Source organism: Homo sapiens, chromosome 12 (assembly GCF_000001405.40).
Source record: "Homo sapiens chromosome 12, GRCh38.p14 Primary Assembly".
Classification (NCBI taxonomy): Eukaryota; Metazoa; Chordata; class Mammalia; order Primates; family Hominidae; genus Homo; species Homo sapiens.
The window spans coordinates 49,827,967-49,846,526 of NC_000012.12; the positions used below are offsets into that span (position 1 = coordinate 49,827,967).

The 18,560-nt window shown below is 45.1% G+C and overlaps 2 protein-coding genes and 1 long non-coding RNA gene across 10 annotated transcripts in view, besides 7 other annotated features; 1 reads left to right on the forward strand and 2 right to left on the reverse strand.

The window, feature by feature from the left end:
* Positions 1–447, reverse strand: part of NCKAP5L (NCK associated protein 5 like) — a 37,262-nt gene extending 36,815 nt beyond the window's left edge. For all 6 annotated transcript variants that reach the window (XM_006719525.3, NM_001037806.4, XM_005269050.4 and 3 more), the window contains exon 1: positions 356–447. The gene's annotated coding sequence lies outside the window, so the exon portion shown is untranslated. The remainder of the gene's footprint in view (positions 1–355) is intronic.
* Positions 166–575: a silencer, noted in NCBI's record as "silent region_4443". NCBI's record gives its function as "represses an Ori minimal core promoter by ATAC-STARR-seq in GM12878 lymphoblastoid cells {active_cell/tissue: GM12878}" and the evidence as "EXISTENCE:reporter gene assay evidence [ECO:0000049][PMID:35858748]".
* Positions 166–899: a biological region, named in NCBI's record as "H3K27ac hESC enhancer GRCh37_chr12:50222070-50222648".
* Positions 321–899: an enhancer, noted in NCBI's record as "H3K27ac hESC enhancer chr12:50222070-50222648 (GRCh37/hg19 assembly coordinates)". NCBI's record gives its function as "activates a minimal SCP1, AML or CMV promoter by ChIP-STARR-seq in naive H9 embryonic stem cells {active_cell/tissue: H9 hESC(naive)}" and the evidence as "EXISTENCE:reporter gene assay evidence [ECO:0000049][PMID:30033119]".
* BCDIN3D-AS1 (BCDIN3D antisense RNA 1) lies at positions 577–13,188 on the forward strand. 3 transcript variants are annotated; one of them, NR_027500.1, is made up of 4 exons: positions 577–778; positions 969–1,117; positions 10,456–10,674; positions 12,161–13,188. It is a non-coding gene; the product is annotated as a BCDIN3D antisense RNA 1 (long non-coding RNA). The 3 variants fall into 3 exon arrangements; NR_027499.1 differs by having other exon boundaries at positions 577–782; positions 10,456–13,188; NR_027501.1 differs by having other exon boundaries at positions 10,456–13,188.
* Positions 900–1,478: an enhancer, noted in NCBI's record as "H3K27ac hESC enhancer chr12:50222649-50223227 (GRCh37/hg19 assembly coordinates)". NCBI's record gives its function as "activates a minimal SCP1, AML or CMV promoter by ChIP-STARR-seq in primed H9 embryonic stem cells {active_cell/tissue: H9 hESC(primed)}" and the evidence as "EXISTENCE:reporter gene assay evidence [ECO:0000049][PMID:30033119]".
* Positions 3,840–4,134: an enhancer, noted in NCBI's record as "tiled region #4864; K562 Activating DNase matched - State 7:EnhWF". NCBI's record gives its function as "activates a minimal TATA promoter and a strong SV40 promoter by Sharpr-MPRA in K562 cells {active_cell/tissue: K562}" and the evidence as "EXISTENCE:reporter gene assay evidence [ECO:0000049][PMID:27701403]".
* Positions 8,077–15,140, reverse strand: BCDIN3D (BCDIN3 domain containing RNA methyltransferase). The gene is made up of 2 exons (NM_181708.3): positions 14,888–15,140; positions 8,077–11,049 (listed from the first exon to the last, which is right to left on the reverse strand). Exons 1-2 carry the CDS (start codon positions 15,119–15,121, stop codon positions 10,405–10,407), a joined length of 879 nt encoding a protein of 292 aa, NP_859059.1. The 5' UTR covers positions 15,122–15,140; the 3' UTR covers positions 8,077–10,404.
* Positions 14,483–14,852: an enhancer, noted in NCBI's record as "active region_6336". NCBI's record gives its function as "activates an Ori minimal core promoter by ATAC-STARR-seq in GM12878 lymphoblastoid cells {active_cell/tissue: GM12878}" and the evidence as "EXISTENCE:reporter gene assay evidence [ECO:0000049][PMID:35858748]".
* Positions 15,423–15,482: an enhancer, noted in NCBI's record as "active region_6337". NCBI's record gives its function as "activates an Ori minimal core promoter by ATAC-STARR-seq in GM12878 lymphoblastoid cells {active_cell/tissue: GM12878}" and the evidence as "EXISTENCE:reporter gene assay evidence [ECO:0000049][PMID:35858748]".

The following is an 18,560-nucleotide window of genomic DNA, read 5'->3' on the forward strand; positions in this document are numbered from 1 at the left end:
AGCTGGGGCAAGGTCAGTGCTTTCAAAGAGGGAGGGGAGCCCGGCCCCCGGAACATCCCCCACTCCCGAAAGTTTCCCTTCCGGGGCCACGGAGTGTGCGCGAGGATGGCGCGGGGGGCGGGAGGGGGTGGGGTGGGGGTGCACAGAGTCGCAGCCGGACCCCCGAGGAGGGTGCGGCTGGAGGGAGGGACGGAGGGGCGGGCAGCAGGGTTTGGGCAGGAAGCCGCGACGCCCTCTCCGACTCTGTACTGCCACGAGAGCCTTACCCTCCACACCCCACTCCCCCCGGCCCGGAGCTACAGATCGCCCCCCCGCACTCGCCGCCCTTTCAATCCCAAGTAGACCCAGAACTCACCGAAATCAGGTGTTGAGCTGGGCCAGGGCAGGCCGGATCCGCCAGGTCCATGGCCGCGGCTTGGGGGCGGGGGGCAGAGAAAGGGGGGTGCCGGAGCCGCCTCCTGATGTCAAGGCTTTAAAGGGGCCGGGGAGCCCCGCCCCTGGCCCTGACCCCGCCTCCCTCCTCCCTAGCAGCCAATCCACGTTCAGCCTGGATGCGCGCCCCTCCCAGCCCCCTCCAGATGTTCCCAGGACGCGAGCTAAGTCTGCCCGGCCGGCGCGCGCCGCTTCCGCTTTGGTGGGAAGGACCTCCCTTCCCCCTTATAGAAACACTTTCTCCAGGCCGGGCCGGGCTTGGTAAACCTCAGCCGTGCCTGGGTAGAGGACGCCGGGCTGGGCCGAGCGGGGGTGGAATGAGGGCGTCTAGAACAGAGAAAACTAAGTAGGTGCGCGCGGGCCCACAGGCATGCGCGTTTGCTTCTGTGGGGCTGGGCGTGCACGTGTATGTGTGGTTGTGAGCGTCGGTGTTTGTAATTTGCTTTTCTGCATACGTGTTGGGTGTAAATCCATGGGGGAAAGGCTTGAGTGCCTCTTTGGCCTTAAATGCTCCCGCCTCTCTCTTCCTTCTCCAGGATGGGGTCGTCCCCCCAGTAATCTGGAAAACAGTTACAGCAACAGGCTCCTCTCATCAGACGGCAGTGCTGGTCGTTTCCTCACTGGTTTGCGGGGAAGGCTGGGCAGAAAAAGGATGCAACCTTGTTCTCAACCACTTGCTATCTCGGTGAGGATGAGGAAAAGCAAACAGCCCATCCAGGCCCCTGCAGAGCCTCAGAGCTTCAATATCATTCCCATTAGTCCTTAATTAAACACCTATTTGCCCTTGCCTAAATACCGTATAACCCTCACAGCCTGCATTGTAGTGACTGCCCCAGAAATGTAGGTTCTCACCTGGGTTCTGCAGGGAAATACGAAGGAATCCCTAGGTACAGTCTCCGCCTACTTCATTAAAATTTCTTTTGTTGCGAGTATACAAAGGATGCAGCTTAGAGTATCATATTAGTCCAATAAAGGAACATAAAAAGTAAGGCAAGTTAGGGTGCTCAGATTGGCTAGGATTAAGAGTTCTTTTCTGAAGGAGGTTTATTTAAATACGGAATTTGAAGGGCAGAGAGAGCTTGAGTAGGGTCCAGGCAGGGTAAAGGCCACAAGGAGATTCAGATAGGAAAGAGCAAATTATCTGCGTGGGACCGTGAGCAGATCACCGTGGTACGTTGGGAAGTGGGAGAAATTAATGGAGGAGGTTTCTTATGGAGGAGAGCAGAATAAGGATATGGATGTGACAAGACATAAGATAAAGAAGTCATTTTGGGTTCTTGAGCATAGAGGTAGTTTGATGAAAAGAGTGCCCAAGGACAGCTATTACTGGAACCTAAAAGATGTCTTGATGGGTACCCCCACCAGCTTTCTCATTTTTTTGCTTAAAAAATATTTTATTCTTTTCTTTTCTCTGAGATGGAGTCTCACTCTGTCCCAGGTTGGACGGAGTGCAGTGGCACAATCTCTGCTCACTGCAACCTCCACCTCCTGATTTCAGGTGATTCTCCTGCCTCAGCCTCCCAAGTAGCTGGTATTATAAGAGTGCACCACCACACCTGGCTAATTTTTGTATTTTTAGTAGAGACGGAGGCTTCACCATGTTGGCCAGGCTGGTCTCGAACTCCTGACCTCAGGTGATTTGCCCACCTCGGCCTCCCAAAGTGCTAGGATTATAGATGTGAGCCACCATGCCCGGCCCTTAAATTATTCTTAACGTGCAATAAAATGCACACATCTTAGGTGCTTTGTTTGGTGAATTTCAAAATATACACCTATGTAATTAACACCCAAAACAAGATACTGAACCACCACCCTATAAAGTTCCCTCATGCCCCTTTATAGTTGATCACCCCACACCCACCACCACCCTCCCCTGGCAACTTCCTGAATTATAGCACCATAGATTTGTCTGCATTTGTATTTCACATATATGGAGCTTTACAGTATGTACTTGTGTCTGTATCCTTTAGCTTAGTAATGTTTTTGAGATCCATCCATGTGTATCAGTAATCTGTTCTTTTTTATTGCTGAGTATTATTCCATTGCATGAATATATCACAATGTGTTTATCCATTCTTCAATTGATGGATATTTGGGTATTTCCAGTTGGGGTTATGATGAATATGGCTGCTATTAACATTCTGGTGCAAATATTTTCATAGACATGTTTTCATTTCTCCTTTTCACCTTATTTCTTGATGATAGTGGCATCTTCGGAAGCCTACAGCATTGTGAATTCTTATTCAATCATCTAACATTGAATAGGGATCAGTGGGCTAGTTCTGGGATTACAACAAAAAGTAGACATGGTCCTTTCCTCAAAGGGCTTGAAAGTCCAATAAAACTCCATGTACCTGTTGTATTCCTAATATTGCCTTGTATTCCTAATTCTGCCTTGAGGTAGAAAACCTTAAAAGTCTGCCAGGCATTTCTAACTACTTTTGGATGTTTCCAAATAACTGAATTATTGGAAGTAAACAGAACATCAAGATGATAATTTACTTTCCTTTTTTTTTTTTTTTTTTTTGAGACAGAGTCTTGCTCTGTCACCCAGACTGGAGTGTAGCAGCACAATCTCGGCTCACTGCAAGGTCTGCCTTCCAAGAGGCAATTCTCTTGCCTCTTGCAATTCTCAAGCAATTCTCCTGCCTCACCCTCCCAAGTAGCTGAGATTACAGGCGTGCGCCACCACACCCAGCTAATTTTTGTATTTTTAGTAGAAATGAGGTTTCACCAAGTTGTCCAGGCTGGTCTTGAACTCCTGACCTCAAGTGATCTGCCCACTTCAGCCTCCCAAAGTGCTGGGATTACAGGTGTGAGCCTCTGTGCCCAGCCAATATTTTACTTTTCATTTAGATGTTTACTCTTGTTTAATAAACAGCCAGAACATCTGTATTTGTCAGAGCAAGTACCTGGCTCTCTCCTTCCTTAAAGGCTATTGTGCACTTGATAATTTCAGCATTCAGATTTTGGCAGATTCTCTATGCTTCACAAACCTTCATCCTCACTGACAGGGGTTGAAAGAAGTGTAGCTACTATTGCTTCAAGATCCCTTTCAGTCTTTTGATAAGGCTTAAGGCACTTTCATTCCTTAGTGCTATTATTTGCATAAATTAAAAATTACACAGAAGTCCCAAAGTTTGTTCTTCACTCTTATGATATACCACTAATCATATATTGTTATTTACTTGAGTCGTCTGTGTAACAAAACAGGCTAGGCCTCTTAGGTCTCTGTTAGCTGCAAGCTGTTACTACTGGTTTAGTAACAAACCAGTTTGGTGGTATTGTCTAACTATGCATGTAGTGCTGGTGCCTGATAGATGGATTCTCAGAGAGAATCACCTCGTCACTGCTAACATCAGTACTTTGAATGGGGTTCCCTGCTTTAATACTGTGTGGTCATTCATTTAATGTTGGAGCATCTTCAATTCTCAGAGGTTGAAACTATAGCCATTTAGCCATTGGTTGATAAGCTGACTCTAGTTTAGAACTCCTGGCAACAGGAGATAGTCAGGTTGGTAACTAGCCTCTCAAAACATTTTTTCTTTTTTTTTTTCCAGATAGGGTCTTGCTGTGTCACCCAGATTGGAGTGCAGTGGTGTGATCACAGCTCACTGCAGCCTTGACCTCTAGGCTCAAGTGAGCCCCTACCAAGCAGCTGGGACTACAAGTGCGCACCACCATACCCAGCTAATTTTTTCATTTTTTGTAGAGACAGGGTCTCACTGTATTGCTCAGGCTGGTCTTGAACTCCTGAGATCAAGCGATCCTCCCACTGTGGCCTCCCAAAGTGCTGGGATTATAGATGTGAGCTACCATGCCTGGCCTCAAAACATTTTTGTAATCTGGCTGTTTTCCAGTTGGATGGACTCTGAGTGCAATCTCAATGTCTTTCCTGATCAGTAAGAGGAAGAAAGGAGCTGTTGTATAATCTTTGGTCCACTTGCTATATAGGAATAGATCTTTACTGCTACATATACATAATTCTGTACGGAACAGTCATGTTCCTTGGATTCTGACAGCATCGCCAATATGTGCTTTGAAACCTCCTACCTGGCACAGATATGATGAATCTACTCATATCCTTGAACCTCTTTTTCATCACTTTTCATCATTCAAACATTTTTATTGAATCTATATGCTAAGCTCTGTATATAAAGTATTAGATAACTTGTACAGAGTTCATGTGGGGTATGATAAACAATGAGACTGGAAAGGTAAGCAGTGGGTAGATCATCCTTTATCCTAAGAGCAGTGTAGCCTTTGAATGGTTTTAAGCAGGAGAGTAGCATAATCAGATTTGCATTTTAGATCCATGTGGTTGCAGTGAGGAGGATAGAGAGAGCAAGACTGAAGTCAGGGGGGCCAGGCAAGGTTTTTGTAGTACCTGAGGAGAAAAACGAGAAATGATGTGGTCTGGACTAGGAAAGTGATAGTGGTGATGGAGAGGACGTAGAAATGCCCAGGGGGCATCCAAGTAGAAACATCTCTCCAACTCGTCAGAACTTCCCAACTGTGTGCCTCAGGAAGAGTTTACGGTGGTGCTGCATAATGGGCTTCACAATTCTCAGGGCAGCACAAGCTTCCTGAGTCAGAGAGCAATCTTGGTTATGCCAGATTGCATCATCCAGCATATAAAACACCATCATTTACTATGTGTGTACTGACATGGAAAAGGTTGGGAAGCACTGATGTAGGCTGTGGGATAAATAATTCTGAAGCTCAGGAGAGGAATCAGGATGATAGATAAGAGATTTGTGAGTCCTCAGAACGTTGGTGGTTACTGAAGTCATGGAGTTGAGGAGATCATGCAAGGAGAGAAAAGAAAGGCAGGAACAGAACCCCAAGGAACATCAACATTAGAGGGGGGTCTCCAGAGAGGGAGAAAGAAAACTGAATGAATGCTGTCACCAGAACCCAAGAAAGGGATTTCCAAAAAAAAAGACCAAATACAGTCGGTCCTTCTTATTGGTGGCTTCCACATCCATGCACTCAATCAATCTCAGATCAGAAAAAATAAAAGAATAAAAACTACATCTCTCTGAAGACTAGATCAGAAAAAAAAATAACTACAGCAATAAAAATACAAAATTTTAAAAATTTAGTGTTAACTATTTACATAGTATTTACATGATATTACATATTATAAGTAATCTAGAGATGATTTAAAGTATATAGGAGAATACCCCTAGGTCATTTGCAAATACTATACTATTTTATGTAAGGGACTTAAGCATCCTTTGATTTTTGTATCCTTGTGGGTCCTGGAACCAATTCCCCATGAATAGGAAGGGATGATTTTTTGGCCCCGATGTTGCTGAGTCAAGTTGGATCAGGACAGAGACATCCCCACTGACTCTGGCCACATGTCATTGGAGACTTTGATAAAACCAGACTTTATTTGTTTATTTAAAATAGAGATGGGGTCTCACTCCATTGCCCAGGCTGTTCTCGAACTCCTGGGCTCAAGCAGTCCTCCCCTCTTGGCCTTCCAAAGTGTTAGGATTACAGGCGTGAGCCACCACGCCTGACCTGGCAAAACCAGATTCTGAAGGATTGAGAAAAATTTACAAAGTAAGGAATGGAGACAGGAGATGTTTAAAACTTTTTGGCTGGGCGCGGTGTCCCATGCCTGTAATTCCAGCACTTTGGGAGGACGAGGTGGGTGGATCACCTGAGGTCAGGAATTCAAGACCGGCCTGGCCTACATGTGAAACCCCGTCTCTACTAAAAATACAAAAATTAGCTGTGTGCGGTGGCATGTGCCTGTAATCCCAGCTACTCAGGAGGCTGAGGCAGGAGAATCGCTTGAGCCTGGGAGGTGGAGGTTGCAGTGAGCCAATTGCGCCATTGCACTCCAGCCTGGGTGATAGAGTGAGACTCTGTCTCAAAAACAAAACAAAAACACAAACAACAACAAAAAAACTTTTCTAAGATTTTGGCTATGCTGTGAGGGAAAAATTAGGCAGATAGATGGGTGGTACAGTAAGAGTTATTTTAGAAAACACTGGCTAATTTTAAAAATTATTCATTTAAGATTAGTTTTTATAAAATGTAATATGTCCATATGGTTTAATAATCAAATAATGCAGAAGCAATTATTTGCTGCATTCCTTACCTCCAGCAATGAGCCATTTTAACTTTTTGGCTGATTCTTCTATATGGCTAAATATGCTTATACTGCCATTCCTTTTTTTTTTTTTTTTTTTTTTTTAAGATAGAGTCTCACTCTGCTGTCCAGGCTGGAGTGCAATGGCACAATCTCGGCTCACTGCAACCTCTGCTTTCCAGGCTCAAGCAATCCTCCCACTTCGGCCTCCCGAGTAGCTAGGACTATAGGCACACGCCACCATGTTCCGCTAATTTTAAAATTTTTTTTGTAGAGATGAAGTCTTATTGTCTTACCCAGGCTGGTCTGTAACTCCTGGGCTCAAGTGATTCTCCTGCCTTGGCCTCTCAGTGTTGAGATTACAGACATGAGCCACTGCACCCGACCTGAGGACCTCATTTTTATGGGCACTAATTGCACATCCTTTTTGTTTTTGTTTTTGTTTTTTTTTTTTTGAGACGGAGTCTCGCCCTGTCGCCCAGGCTGGAATGCAGTCGTGTGATCTCAGCTCACTGCAACCTCCACCTCCCGGGTTCAAGCGATTCTCCTGCCCCAGCCTCCCAAGTAGCTGGGATTACAGGCGCGTGCCACTACGCCCAGCTAATTTTTGTATTTTTAGTAGAGACGGGGTTTCACTATGTTGGTCAGGCTGGTCTCGAACTCTTGACCTCGTGATCCACCCGCCTCGGCCTCCCAAAGTGCTGGGATTACAGGCGTGAGCCACCACGCCCAGCCAATCCTTTCTGCCTTTTTTTTTTTTTTTTTTTTTTTGAGACGGAGTCTCGCTCATGTCGCCCAGGCTGGAATGCAGTGGTGCGATCTCAGCTCACTGCAATCTCCACCTCCCGGGTTCAAGCGGTTCTCCTGCCCCAGCCGCCCAAGTAGCTGGGATTACAGGTGCGTGCCTGCACATCCTTTTTGAAACTAACTGCCACAGACATGAAATACAGTGGTTCCTCCCAACAGGTCAGGTAACTGCTCAGCCAATCTGTTACTAGGGAACAGGTCAGGTTCAGATGCTGAAGCATCTCCAAAAGCTTTTCGTTATTGAGGATTTCTTTTTTTAAGACAGTATCGCTCTATTACCCAGGCTGGAGTGCAGTGGCATGATCTTGGCTCACTGCAACCTCAGCCTCCTGGGCTCAAGTGATCCTGCACCTCAGCCTCCCAAGTTGCTGGACTACAGGTGCGTGCCACCACTCCCAGCTAATTTTTTTTTTGTGTGTGTATTTTTTGCAGATTTGGGGTTTTGCCATGTTGCCCAGGCTGGTCTCAAACTGCTGAGCTCAAGTGACCCACCTGCCTAAGCCTCCCAGTGTTGGGATTACAGGCGTGAGCCACTGCACCTGGCAATTTCTTAATTAGCCATGTTGGACAAAGCCCTTGTGTATCCTTCTGCTCACTGAGGTTATTTTCTGTTAACAAGGAGTTATCTGGGAAAGGTGCCACTTGGCTTTTGTAAGCCAGTCTCACTGTAGTCAGAGCCCATGTATTAGTTTTATAGTGCTGCTGTAAGAAATCACCACAAACCTTAGTGGTTTAAAATACTGATTTATTCTCTTACAGCTCTGGAGATTAAATCTGAAATCAAGGTGTTGGCAGGGCTGTTCCTTCTGGAGGCTTCAGGGGAGAATACATTTTCTTGCTTTTTCTAACTTCTAGAAGCCACCTGCATTCCTTGACTTGCAGCCCTTCTTCATATCACTCCAACCTCTTGCTTTTGTCATTACATCTCCTACTGTGGTCAGCTCTCCCTCTGCCTCCCTATTATAAGAACACTGATGATTGCACTTAGGGTATATTCTGATCATCCAGATTAATCTCCCTATCTGAAGATCCTCAATCTCATTTGCAAAGCCCCTTTTGCTAAAGGAGGTGGACATCTTGGGGGACCATTATTCATCCTACCACAGCCCCATGTATGTTTCTGTGCGCTGCCTTGGTGGAGTGAGAGGAGAGAGCACCCAGCAGGGTTACAGGGTTTCAAAGTGTTCCTAAATTAAGATCTTGTGGGTAAACTCAGCTCTGTATCTACTGTGATAACTGAGACCATCATAAACTAGCCTCATTTCCATTAGTTCCATATCCCTCCCTCCCAACACTGCTTCCTTTAAAATGCTCTGTAGCACTGAAGCTGGACTCCTTATTACTTCATCATCCTGAAAAACAAGTTATCAGAGATAGTAAGATGCATGTTTTCTACAAGGTGAGATGTTTTTCTCATAAGCCTCCAGTCTAACAAGTGCAGTTGTGGTCTGCGGCATGCTCACACAGTGTAATAGCACCTTATTTTTCTTTATCACTCTATATTCTGCAAAATACCTTCACATCCTTAGCTCATTTGGGCATAGGAAAAGGAAAGTGGTGTTATTTCGTTGTACAGATGAGTAAACTGTGGCTGTAAGGCAGACAATGGATGGAAGGTAGATGACTTTAATATAGGAACCTCCCACCAGGCACCGGACACATGTATGGAATGAAACTTACATGTAATTGATAGAATTTGCTGCTGGACTTTGAGAGCATTTCAATGTGGGGGAGTGTAAGTGAGAAAATCAACTGAGGTTTCTAGCATAAGCAATGATTACTATCAAATGAGATAGGACTAGGTTTTGAATGAGGGTAGTGAGCTTGCTTTTGAGATCTGTTGATTCTGATGTACCTAAGAACTAAGGGATATAATGACAAAACAGGAAAAATGCTAGTCTGGAACTGTGGATGTCGGGCTACCAATATATTTGGGGACCATAAGCATGTAGGTAGTTGTTTTTTTTTTTGTTTTTTTTTTTTTTTTTTTTGAGACGGAGTCTCGCTCTGTCGCCCAGGCTGGAGTGCAGTGGCGGGATCTCGGCTCACTGCAAGCTCCGCCTCCCGGGTTCACGCCATTCTCCTGCCTCAGCCTCCCAAGTAGCTGGGACTACAGGCGCCCGCCACTACGCCCGGCTAATTTTTTGTATTTTTAGTAGAGACGGGGTTTCACCGTTTTAGCCGGGATGGTCTCGATCTCCTGACCTCGTGATCCACCCGCCTCGGCCTCCCAAAGTGCTGCGATTACAGGCGTGAGCCACCGCGCCCGGCCGCATGTAGGTAGTTGTTAAAACCATAGGGAAGAACTCACCCCAGGAAAAATACATAGAGAAGGACTGAATGGAACCGTAAGCACTCAAAGTATGGTCTACCTCTGCTTGCCTCAGAATCATCTGGGGGAGCTGTTAAAAATAGATGCCTCATTGTGAAATGTACTTAATATCACAAAATTGTATACTTTTAAAAAAATTATCAATTTATCTTTTAATTTTTTAATCCAATTTTTGATGGGATTTCCACGTTCTGAAAAACTGTACTTAAAAACGGTTAAAATGGTAAATTTTATGTATATATTACAATAGAAGAATGCAAAAACAAACAAACAAAAAAACAGAAAATAGATTCCTAAGCCCCATTCCAGACCTGAATTACTAAGGTTTTGCCCAAAGGCAGGCCTAGCAAGTCCAGAAGCCTGAAGAAACCAGGTAGGATTCAGAGAGCCCAGGAACTGACATATTTTAAGACTAGCCTAGTCTGATCTTTATAAATAATCCCCAAAAGCAGCCCTCTCCATAACCCATAACCAGGACCACTTTTCCTAGGCCATCTCAATCCAGATATCCTAGCTCATCACTCCACAGATTCATTCTCCTCAAGATTTGTTCCAAACAATGGGGAACAGATACTGATTCTTTCAATTATGTGCCTTGGACATTTTACCAAAAGCTCCTGCCAGGTTTTGCGGCTGCCTGATTGTTAAGGAATTAAGGAGAATGAACATAATTCTCAATATAAAACCCTTTCAATATCTTTCTTGGTCTTCTTGCCCTCCCATCTCACTGCTTCTGGAAACTTAATCTGTTCTTTTCTTTCCCTTTTTCTATCAGTGATTCAGGGATTGGATGAGTCTCTATGGTTTGTTTTGCCCTGAAGAGCAGAAGGCTTCTGTCCCAACTGGTGTTGCCAAAGCAACATATTAATTCCATGCCATGATCCTGGGTCAAGATCTGCACAATCTGATTGGGCATGTCACCTCGGATGGCAAGGGAGTGGAAGTGGTCAAAATCATGGAGTCCCAGCTTTCGGAGACGCCTTGCAGCTGCCCGGTAACACTTCCAGGGTTGGGGCTCCACAAGGAGGTAGTGGCAGAGGGAGGAAAGATGGGCCAGGAACTCCCATAGGCCATGGTCTCCATGATTCAGATGAATCCACATGGTTATTGACATGCAGAAGCCAATGTCAAAAACTGAACGTCCAAATTGGCTTAAGAAAGAGCTCAAGAGAACCTTCCGGGTCCTTTGATTCATGAAGTCCAGGGTGATAAAAGTCAAGGCATCAGGAAAAGGACATTCTTTTTCGGCTCGCTTCACCAGGACTGGATCTATGTCGCAGCAGAGGAGACGGAATTCTCTTGAGGCATCTGAGCAGGTTTCCCCGTCAGGTAGGGAGAGGAAGTGTTTGTATAGAGCCACACTCAGATCCTAGAGGAATCCAAAACAGCTTTGTCACTGCAGTTCTCAATCAGTGAATGGAAGAGAAATCTGTATCATTCTCCCACTGAGAATGCCACTTACCTCTGGCTGTATAGGATGTGAGGTTCCTAAACCATAACCTAAAGAGGTTGTGCAAAAATTTTCTACAGAGTAGGCTCTCAGTGCCCTCCAGGGGTCACATGCTGTAATGCATCATCCCCATATTTTCCTGACACTGATGATAGATTGGGTTGTATAGCTGAAAGTTACAGCCAAATGGATGCAGCAAAGGAACCTACAGCAGTATTTCCCAGCTTAAGTAATATGCTGATAAACTCACTCTTTTTCTGGGTATCTCAAGACCCCAGGGCGGAAGAAAGGGGTCCAGAGGCATAACCAGTGTCTCTTACCAGGAAAGTGAGGAATACAGCAAGCACAATCTTACAAAAACCTGCTTCTCAGACCCGCGGTGGGGGAAGTCTGGATTCCAAAGTCCTCATTCAGCCTTCACTAAAGCTTCAATTTTACTGTCTTAGGATTCACCACCTCCTTCTGAGACATTCTGCTTCTATAACCATCATTGCTAAAAGTCACTGCTAACAACCTTCTAGACAAGTCCAATGATTTGTGATTTTTACCACATTAGCACCTTTTTTACTCTTAAGTCACCATCTCCTTTCTCTAACTTTGAATTCTTTTTTTTTTTGAGACAAAGTCTGGTTCTGTCGGCCAGGCTGGAGTGCAATGGCGTGATCTCAGCAACCTCTGCCTCCCAGGTTCAAGCGATTCTCCTGCCTCAGCCTCCTAAGTAGCTGGGATTACAGGCATGCATCACCACACTCAGCTAATTTTTGTATTTTTATTAGAGACAGGGTTTCACCATGTTGGCCAGGCTGGTCTTTAACTGACCTCAAGTGATCCACCTGCCTCGGCCTCCCAAAGTGCTGGGACTATAGGAATGAGCCACTGCACCTGGCCTCTTTGATTTCTATAACCATTATAACTAACTCAAATTTGTGTTTTTCCACATAGTATTTTCAAGGCATTTTTCTGTTTACTACTTTGTTTGCTTGGTGTAACAAGCATGTGAGGAAAATATTTATTTATGCCTTTTCTGCAGGTGAAGAAAATGCACAATGGAAACCACCCAGATGTCCAGTGATAGTGGCATGGACAAATAAATGTGGTATAATCATGAAGATAGAATACTAAATAGCAGTTAAAAAATGAAGGCACCCAGCTTGGTGCACAACATGGATGATTCTCACAAATACATAATGTTGAGAAAAAAAGCAAGCCATAACAGAAAATATATGAAAAGCATCCATTTACATGAAGCTCAAAAATGGGTGAAATTAAAGTACATCATTCAGGGAAGAAAAACAGTACACTATAAAGAAAAGCAAGGAAACAACAGAAGGCTAGTTGTTACCTCTGGGTAGAGATAGAGGTTTATGAACAGGAAAAGGCATATAGGGGAAGTTGTGGGGTGCTGAAAATGTTTATTATTTATTTATTTATTTATTTTTGAGACAGGATCTTACTCTGTTTCCCAGGCTGGAGTACAGTGGTGTGATCACTGCAACCTTGACTTCCCAGGCTCCAGAGATCCTCCTACTTCAGCCTTATGAGTAGCTGGAACCACAGGTGCACACCACCATGCCCAGCTAATTTTTGTATTTTTGGTAGGGATGAGATTTTGCCATGTTGCCCAGGCTGATCTCAAACTCCCGAGCTCAAGCAATCCACCAGCGTCAGTCTCTGAAAATGCTGGGATTACAGCGTCAGCCACTGCACCCAGCAGTTTTTTGGGTTTTTTGTTGTTGTTTTATTTGAGACAGGGTCTCACTTCGTCACCCAGGCTGGGGTATGTGGCACAATCAAGGCTCACTGCAGCCTCGACCTCCTGGGTTCAAGCGATCCTCCTCCCTCAGCTCTCTAAGTAGCTGGGACTACAGATGCCCACCACCACACCTGGCTAATTTTTTTTAGAGATGGGGTTTTGCCATGTTGCCCAGGCTGGGAAAGGAGTTTTTAAAATTGAAAAAAAAAAGCACCCATAAATTATGGTACATCTATCCAATGAAACATTAGGAAGCTGCTAAAAAAAGAATGTGGTGATATAAATAATCTCAGAATTAAAAGCTACTAATAGTGTGTTACCATTTGTAAAACTAAAAGGGGGGTACTTATATGTACGTAAATGCTGGTATACACACAAGACTGATACCTAAGAAATTATAAACAGTAGTGCCACTGTGTGGGGGAAAAGGAGGATTTAGGGTTGGGAGTAGAGACTTACTTTTTAGTATATACCCCTTTGTAGTTTGAATTTTTTTGTTTTATCAAGCGCAAGCATTTTTTTTCCCTTTCCTGACTACAAAGATCCACAAGAAAAAGCATTTTTTAAAAACTGCAAAACAGAAAGCTCCATAAACGTACAGCCAGGTTTGGGAACCACTACCCTAGTTAGCTGCCAACTATGTCTTTACCTCTCATGTGTATACTACTCTCAACTTTAAAATCTCTGGTGGTTTCCTAATGCCTTTCGTGAAATCCCAAGCCTTAACCTCAGTCTCTCTTTTCCATTGTTTTTACCCTCTGACTTCCCGTATCATCACAGCGGAGAAATTTTGCAGGGGACACAGGACATCAACCCATCTCCTCATTCCAGTCTTTGAGACTGTATCCAAATGTCCCCTTCCTACTATCATCTGAGTCCCACAAGGTCTGAAGTCGTCCCCCAAAGTCTCTTCTGTAAAAGGACAGCAACGTAACAGAATTGTCCCCCGCCCTCCAGATGCTGGACTGGAGTGATGGAGGGAGCGCAGAGAGGGTACTAACTTTTGAAGCATTTGCCGTGGTAAGTTCAGACTGCCTGCTAGTGTAGAATATCCCAGTGGCTACAAATAGGTGTGGGAGAGACATTTCCTTATTTTGCATGTGGTTTGATTATAATCATATGCCTAAGAATAGTTTGCAGCAAGAAGAGTGGCAGTGCCGCCCTTCTCCATTCCCTTGGGCAAAATGCTTTATTTGCTTCTCGATCCTCTCCACTGTACTCTGTCAACTCACTGTTTTGTTTTGTTTTTGAGACGGAGTCTCGCTCTGTCGCCCAGGCTGGAGTGCAGTGGCACTAGCTCGGCTCACTGCAAGCTCCGCCTCCCGGGTTCACGCCATTCTCCTGCCTCAGCCTCCGGAGTAGCTGGACTACAGGCGCCCGCCACCACGACCGGCTAATTTTTTGTATTTTTAGTAGAGACGGGGTTTCACCGTGTTAGCCAGGATGGTCTCGATCTCGTGACCTTGTGATCCACCCGCCTCGGCCTCCGAAAGTGCTGGGATTACAGGCGTGAGCCAGCGCGCCCGGCCTACTCACTTTTTTTGAAATAAACATGCAGGTCCCAGGGTCTGTCCTGCACTGTATAGCACACATGAGTCTCAATATCAGGCATGATTCTGTCACCCTTGGCTCTTCTCTCCCAGTAAACCAAACCTAACCCCATGTTCCCAAACGTGTGTCTCTGGAAGCCCCCTCTCCCCAGCCAAAGCGCCAGGCACGCTGGACAGAGGCCACCCTAGATACAAGGACCGTTCCCACCTGGGGTCTGGCCCTGAAAGAAAAGTGGGAACGTAGTCGACAAGGACTCCTCTCCAAGAGAGATTCCTAAGACAGATGGTGGAACCCTGGCGGGCAGGCAGCAGCGGCACTGGCTCAGTCAAAGCCACGCTTTATACTCGTTTTGGGAAAGTTTCGATGGGTGTTAGCCCAGGCCAGAACCACAGTGGATGTGTAGGCAGCCAACCACTTGGCTCCGGATGCTCCAATCCCTCCCCTGTCACTCACCCCGGAGTTACACCCCACGTCGAGCCCCAGAATCGGCCCGTTCTCGGGACTCTCAGGAAAGAGCTGTCGAAGCAGCTCCGGGGGCAGGAGGCGGAGCCGTTGCTCCGGAGGGTGGAAGCGAGAATAATGAGGAAAATTTCCGAACGGGGCGGCGCCAGGTGCCAGAACTCGCGATTCCTCTTCCGCTGCGGTCTCCTTAACACTCCCTCCATCCAGTTCCGTGGGCACCGCCATTAGCCTCAACACAGCCTCTGGGCCGTGGCGGAACCGGAAGCCGGGAACCTGCTGTCGGCGTGGGCGGTGGCGGTGCCAGCGCGCGTGCGTCGAACGGCTAGGGCGGGTGGCTAGAATTCTGCGGTGAATCAGAAAAGCTGTCCTGATTTCCTCTCGCTGTATACCTGGAGCCGGCGAGCGCCTGGGGCTTGCCTTGTATTATTGAACCCTCATCACAACACTGGGAGGGGATTAGCAATATCATCCACGTTTTACAGGGATGAAACAAACTCTGAGGGCTAAGTGTCTTGGCCAAGCTGACATAGTTTGAAACTTGGGCTACTTGACCCAGAACAAGTATACTAGTTTGTTGGGATCTTGGAAATCAATTTTAGTCCAATTTCCTTTCTTTATAAATGCAAAAAGTGAGACCGAGAGAACTTACTTGTCTGGGGTCATACATTGAATCTGTGACTCAAAAACTTCCACCCGGTTCAGGAAAGGGTAGCCAGGAGGTGCAGGTCACTTGCGAAGCCAGCCGACTCAGCCCTGTCCCCCAGGGGCAACTGTAGACCATGAGCTCCTTGAGAGGCAAGGACCGTGCCTTAAGAGCCAGCACTTAAAGAGTGCTTACCAGGCACCAGACACCCTTGTAAGCTCCTTAGTCAATCCTCTCACCCCGTGAGAAAATGACCGTATTATTATTCTTTTTATATAGATGAGGACACTGGAGTAAAACAAAGTAACTTGTCCAAGATCCCACAGTTAGAAATGATGGTACTAGGATTCGAACCCAGGGAGTTTGGATCCAGAGGATGTGCTTGCAACGGTGTGTTATTCTCAGCCTTGAGTCTCCTATACTTAACATGGGCCTGGCACAAAGATGCTCAACAAATGTTGTTGAATGAAAACTCAATAGAGAATACAATAAGGCCAGATCTGTTTGGGGAAACTTTAAATGGAAGGGAGAAAGGATGCCAACTGAAGCAGACATAGTGGAATGGAGTTGGGCAAGATGTGACTCAGAGATTGGAAATAACAGAGCTGATAAGGAGAGGAACTGAAGGGTCAACCTAGGTAGCAGGTTCCAGTCAAAAGCCAGGATGGCCCAGAATATCCGTCAGGGTCAACCAAGCATCAGCAGAGTTGTGCAGGACCCCCAACCCCACCCCTGCACCTGGCCCACCCATCTTAAAGGGGTATCCTGCTCCATGAGGCTGGCAGTTCGGTAAACTTCTTATAAGGCACTGGAGCATGACTCCTGCAAACAGTACCATCAGGAGTTAAAATAAGCGCTGTTTTCCTCTCAGTTTTTACTTTATATTTTCTTTTTCTTTTCTCCTTTTTTTGAGATAGAGTCTCACACTATTGCCTGGGCTGGAGTGCAATGACATGATCTCGGCTCACTGCAACCTTTGCCTCCCAGGTTCAAGTGATTCTCCTGCCTCAGCCTCCCAAGTAGCTGGAATTACAGGCACCCGCCACCATTCCTGGCTAAGTTTTTGTATTTTTTAGTAGAGACGGGGTTTCACTATGTTGGCCAGGCTGGTCTCGAACTCCTGACCTCGTGATCTGCCCACCTCGGCCTCCCAAAGTGTTGGGATTACAGGCGAGAGCCACCACGCCCAGCCTTTATATTTTCATCTCTATCTGGCCTGCTGTTTCTCTAGTTTCACTTATTTGAGGACACAAGTTAATAAAAGTCACTCTGGAATTTAGTAAACCACAGTATTCTGCACAATTACAGAAAAGGAGAAAAAGCTGCACCGTTTTGACAAATTTTGGTGAGCTGAGCTGAACTTACCTCTTTTTGTCACTAGATGAAGCTAGCACAAATAATTAACAATTTTCAAGGAGCTGGAATCACCTTGCTTCCAGGACAGTGAATGGCAAGAACTCCTGACCCTGGGGTTCCTCCAGAAGCAAAGATAGGCCCTCGTAACATTACTGGTAATCTAAAATGCCTGACAGGTGACCTCATAAAGAGGTGTTTTAATTTGATCCACTCTGGTAACTTTTCTAACCTATGACCACTTTTCAGAGCCTGAACAGCACAGGTGTCTTGACAATACTTGACAATACCAGCCCCAGCACCTTAAATAGCTGTAGCAGCACCTAAGAGCTCGCTCTGCACTTTGGTCAGCCAGGTTTTATGGAGTGAGATGCATATATAATTTCAAGGGAAAGGGGAAGAAGGGGCGCCCTCTTTAAGGAAAAAACTCCCACCAACTTACAAATATAAAGACAGGTATAAAAGTGAATATTTATTTATAATGAGAAATCACAACAAATTACAAATTTTGAAAAGCTGACTACTAAAAGCATCACAACAAATTTTCTATAGGCTTGGTGTGGTGGCTCACACCTGTAATCCCAGCACTTTGGGAGGCCGAGGCGGGCGGATCACGAGGTCAGGAGATCGAGACCATCCTGGCTAACACGGTGAAACCCCTCTCTACTAAAAATACAAAAAATTAGCCGGGCGAGGTGGCGGTCGCCTGTAGTCCCAGCTACTCGGGAGGCTGAGGCAAGAGAATGGCGTGAACCCCAGGGGGCGGAGCCTGCAGTGAGCCGAGATCGTGCCACTGCACTCTAGCCTGGGCGACAGCAAGACTCCGTCTCAAAAAAAAAAAAAAAATTCTATAATAGTTTGATTGATTAAATGCTAGTCACACTTGAATATTACTTTTTTTCTTACATTTTTGGCTGCATACTCTTTGATTGCTTCTTCACATGACAATCACTTGATAATATCATTTTAGAGAGAGACCAGGAAGGTAATTCAGTCTTTTCTTAGCCTGGTGGATCAAATTTGTCTTTTATTATTTGTGGCAGTTATAAAAGTTTCTTTCAAGTTCACAAGTTGTTATTGGCAATGTCATGTAAATTTTTTGGTTTGTTATCAAATTGGGGGAGAACTTTGATTAAATTTCTTTCATTTATTAGCTGGAAGATTTCAGAGCATTTCAAATTTTCTTGTGCAAGAAATAATCTTAGATCTACTCTTCAAATGGACTGTATTCATTAGCCAATTTGTCGTTGAAAACCTTATTATGAATGATGCATTATAAAATTTTTATCATCTGCATTGATAGCAGTAATTTGTGTCAAGTCAGCAAAGGAATTTAAACATAGGGATTCTGATAAATTGTGTATTGTACAATTCCCATCAAGAAATAAAAGAATGCATGGTGCATTTATAATTATATATGCTGTGCTATTGAGTTACTGTGTTATTGCCGACAGGACAAAACTTGTTTTGACTGGTGTTTAATAAGAGACAGAATCTTCTGCTTATGACTGGAATAATTTTCTTCAGACTAGCTTCTGACTTCATATATTTTCAAACTTTTAGGCCCACATAACTTCGGGTGCCAGGTGCTATTGGACACATTTATATCCTGGTTTGATCTAAGCCCTTTTTTTTTTTTTTTTTTTTTTTTTTTCTGAGACAGTCTTG

What these genes read in the sequence shown, in the direction of transcription:
- BCDIN3D (NM_181708.3), bottom strand. Translation starts at nt 15,121, where the DNA reads ATGGCGGTGCCCACGGAACTGGATGGAGGGAGTGTTAAGGAGACCGCA. An exon ending in ACGTGGGGTGTAACTCCGGG is followed by an intron (nt 11,050 to 14,887) that starts GTGAGTGACAGG and finishes GGATTCCTCTAG; the next exon opens with GATCTGAGTGTGGCTCTATA.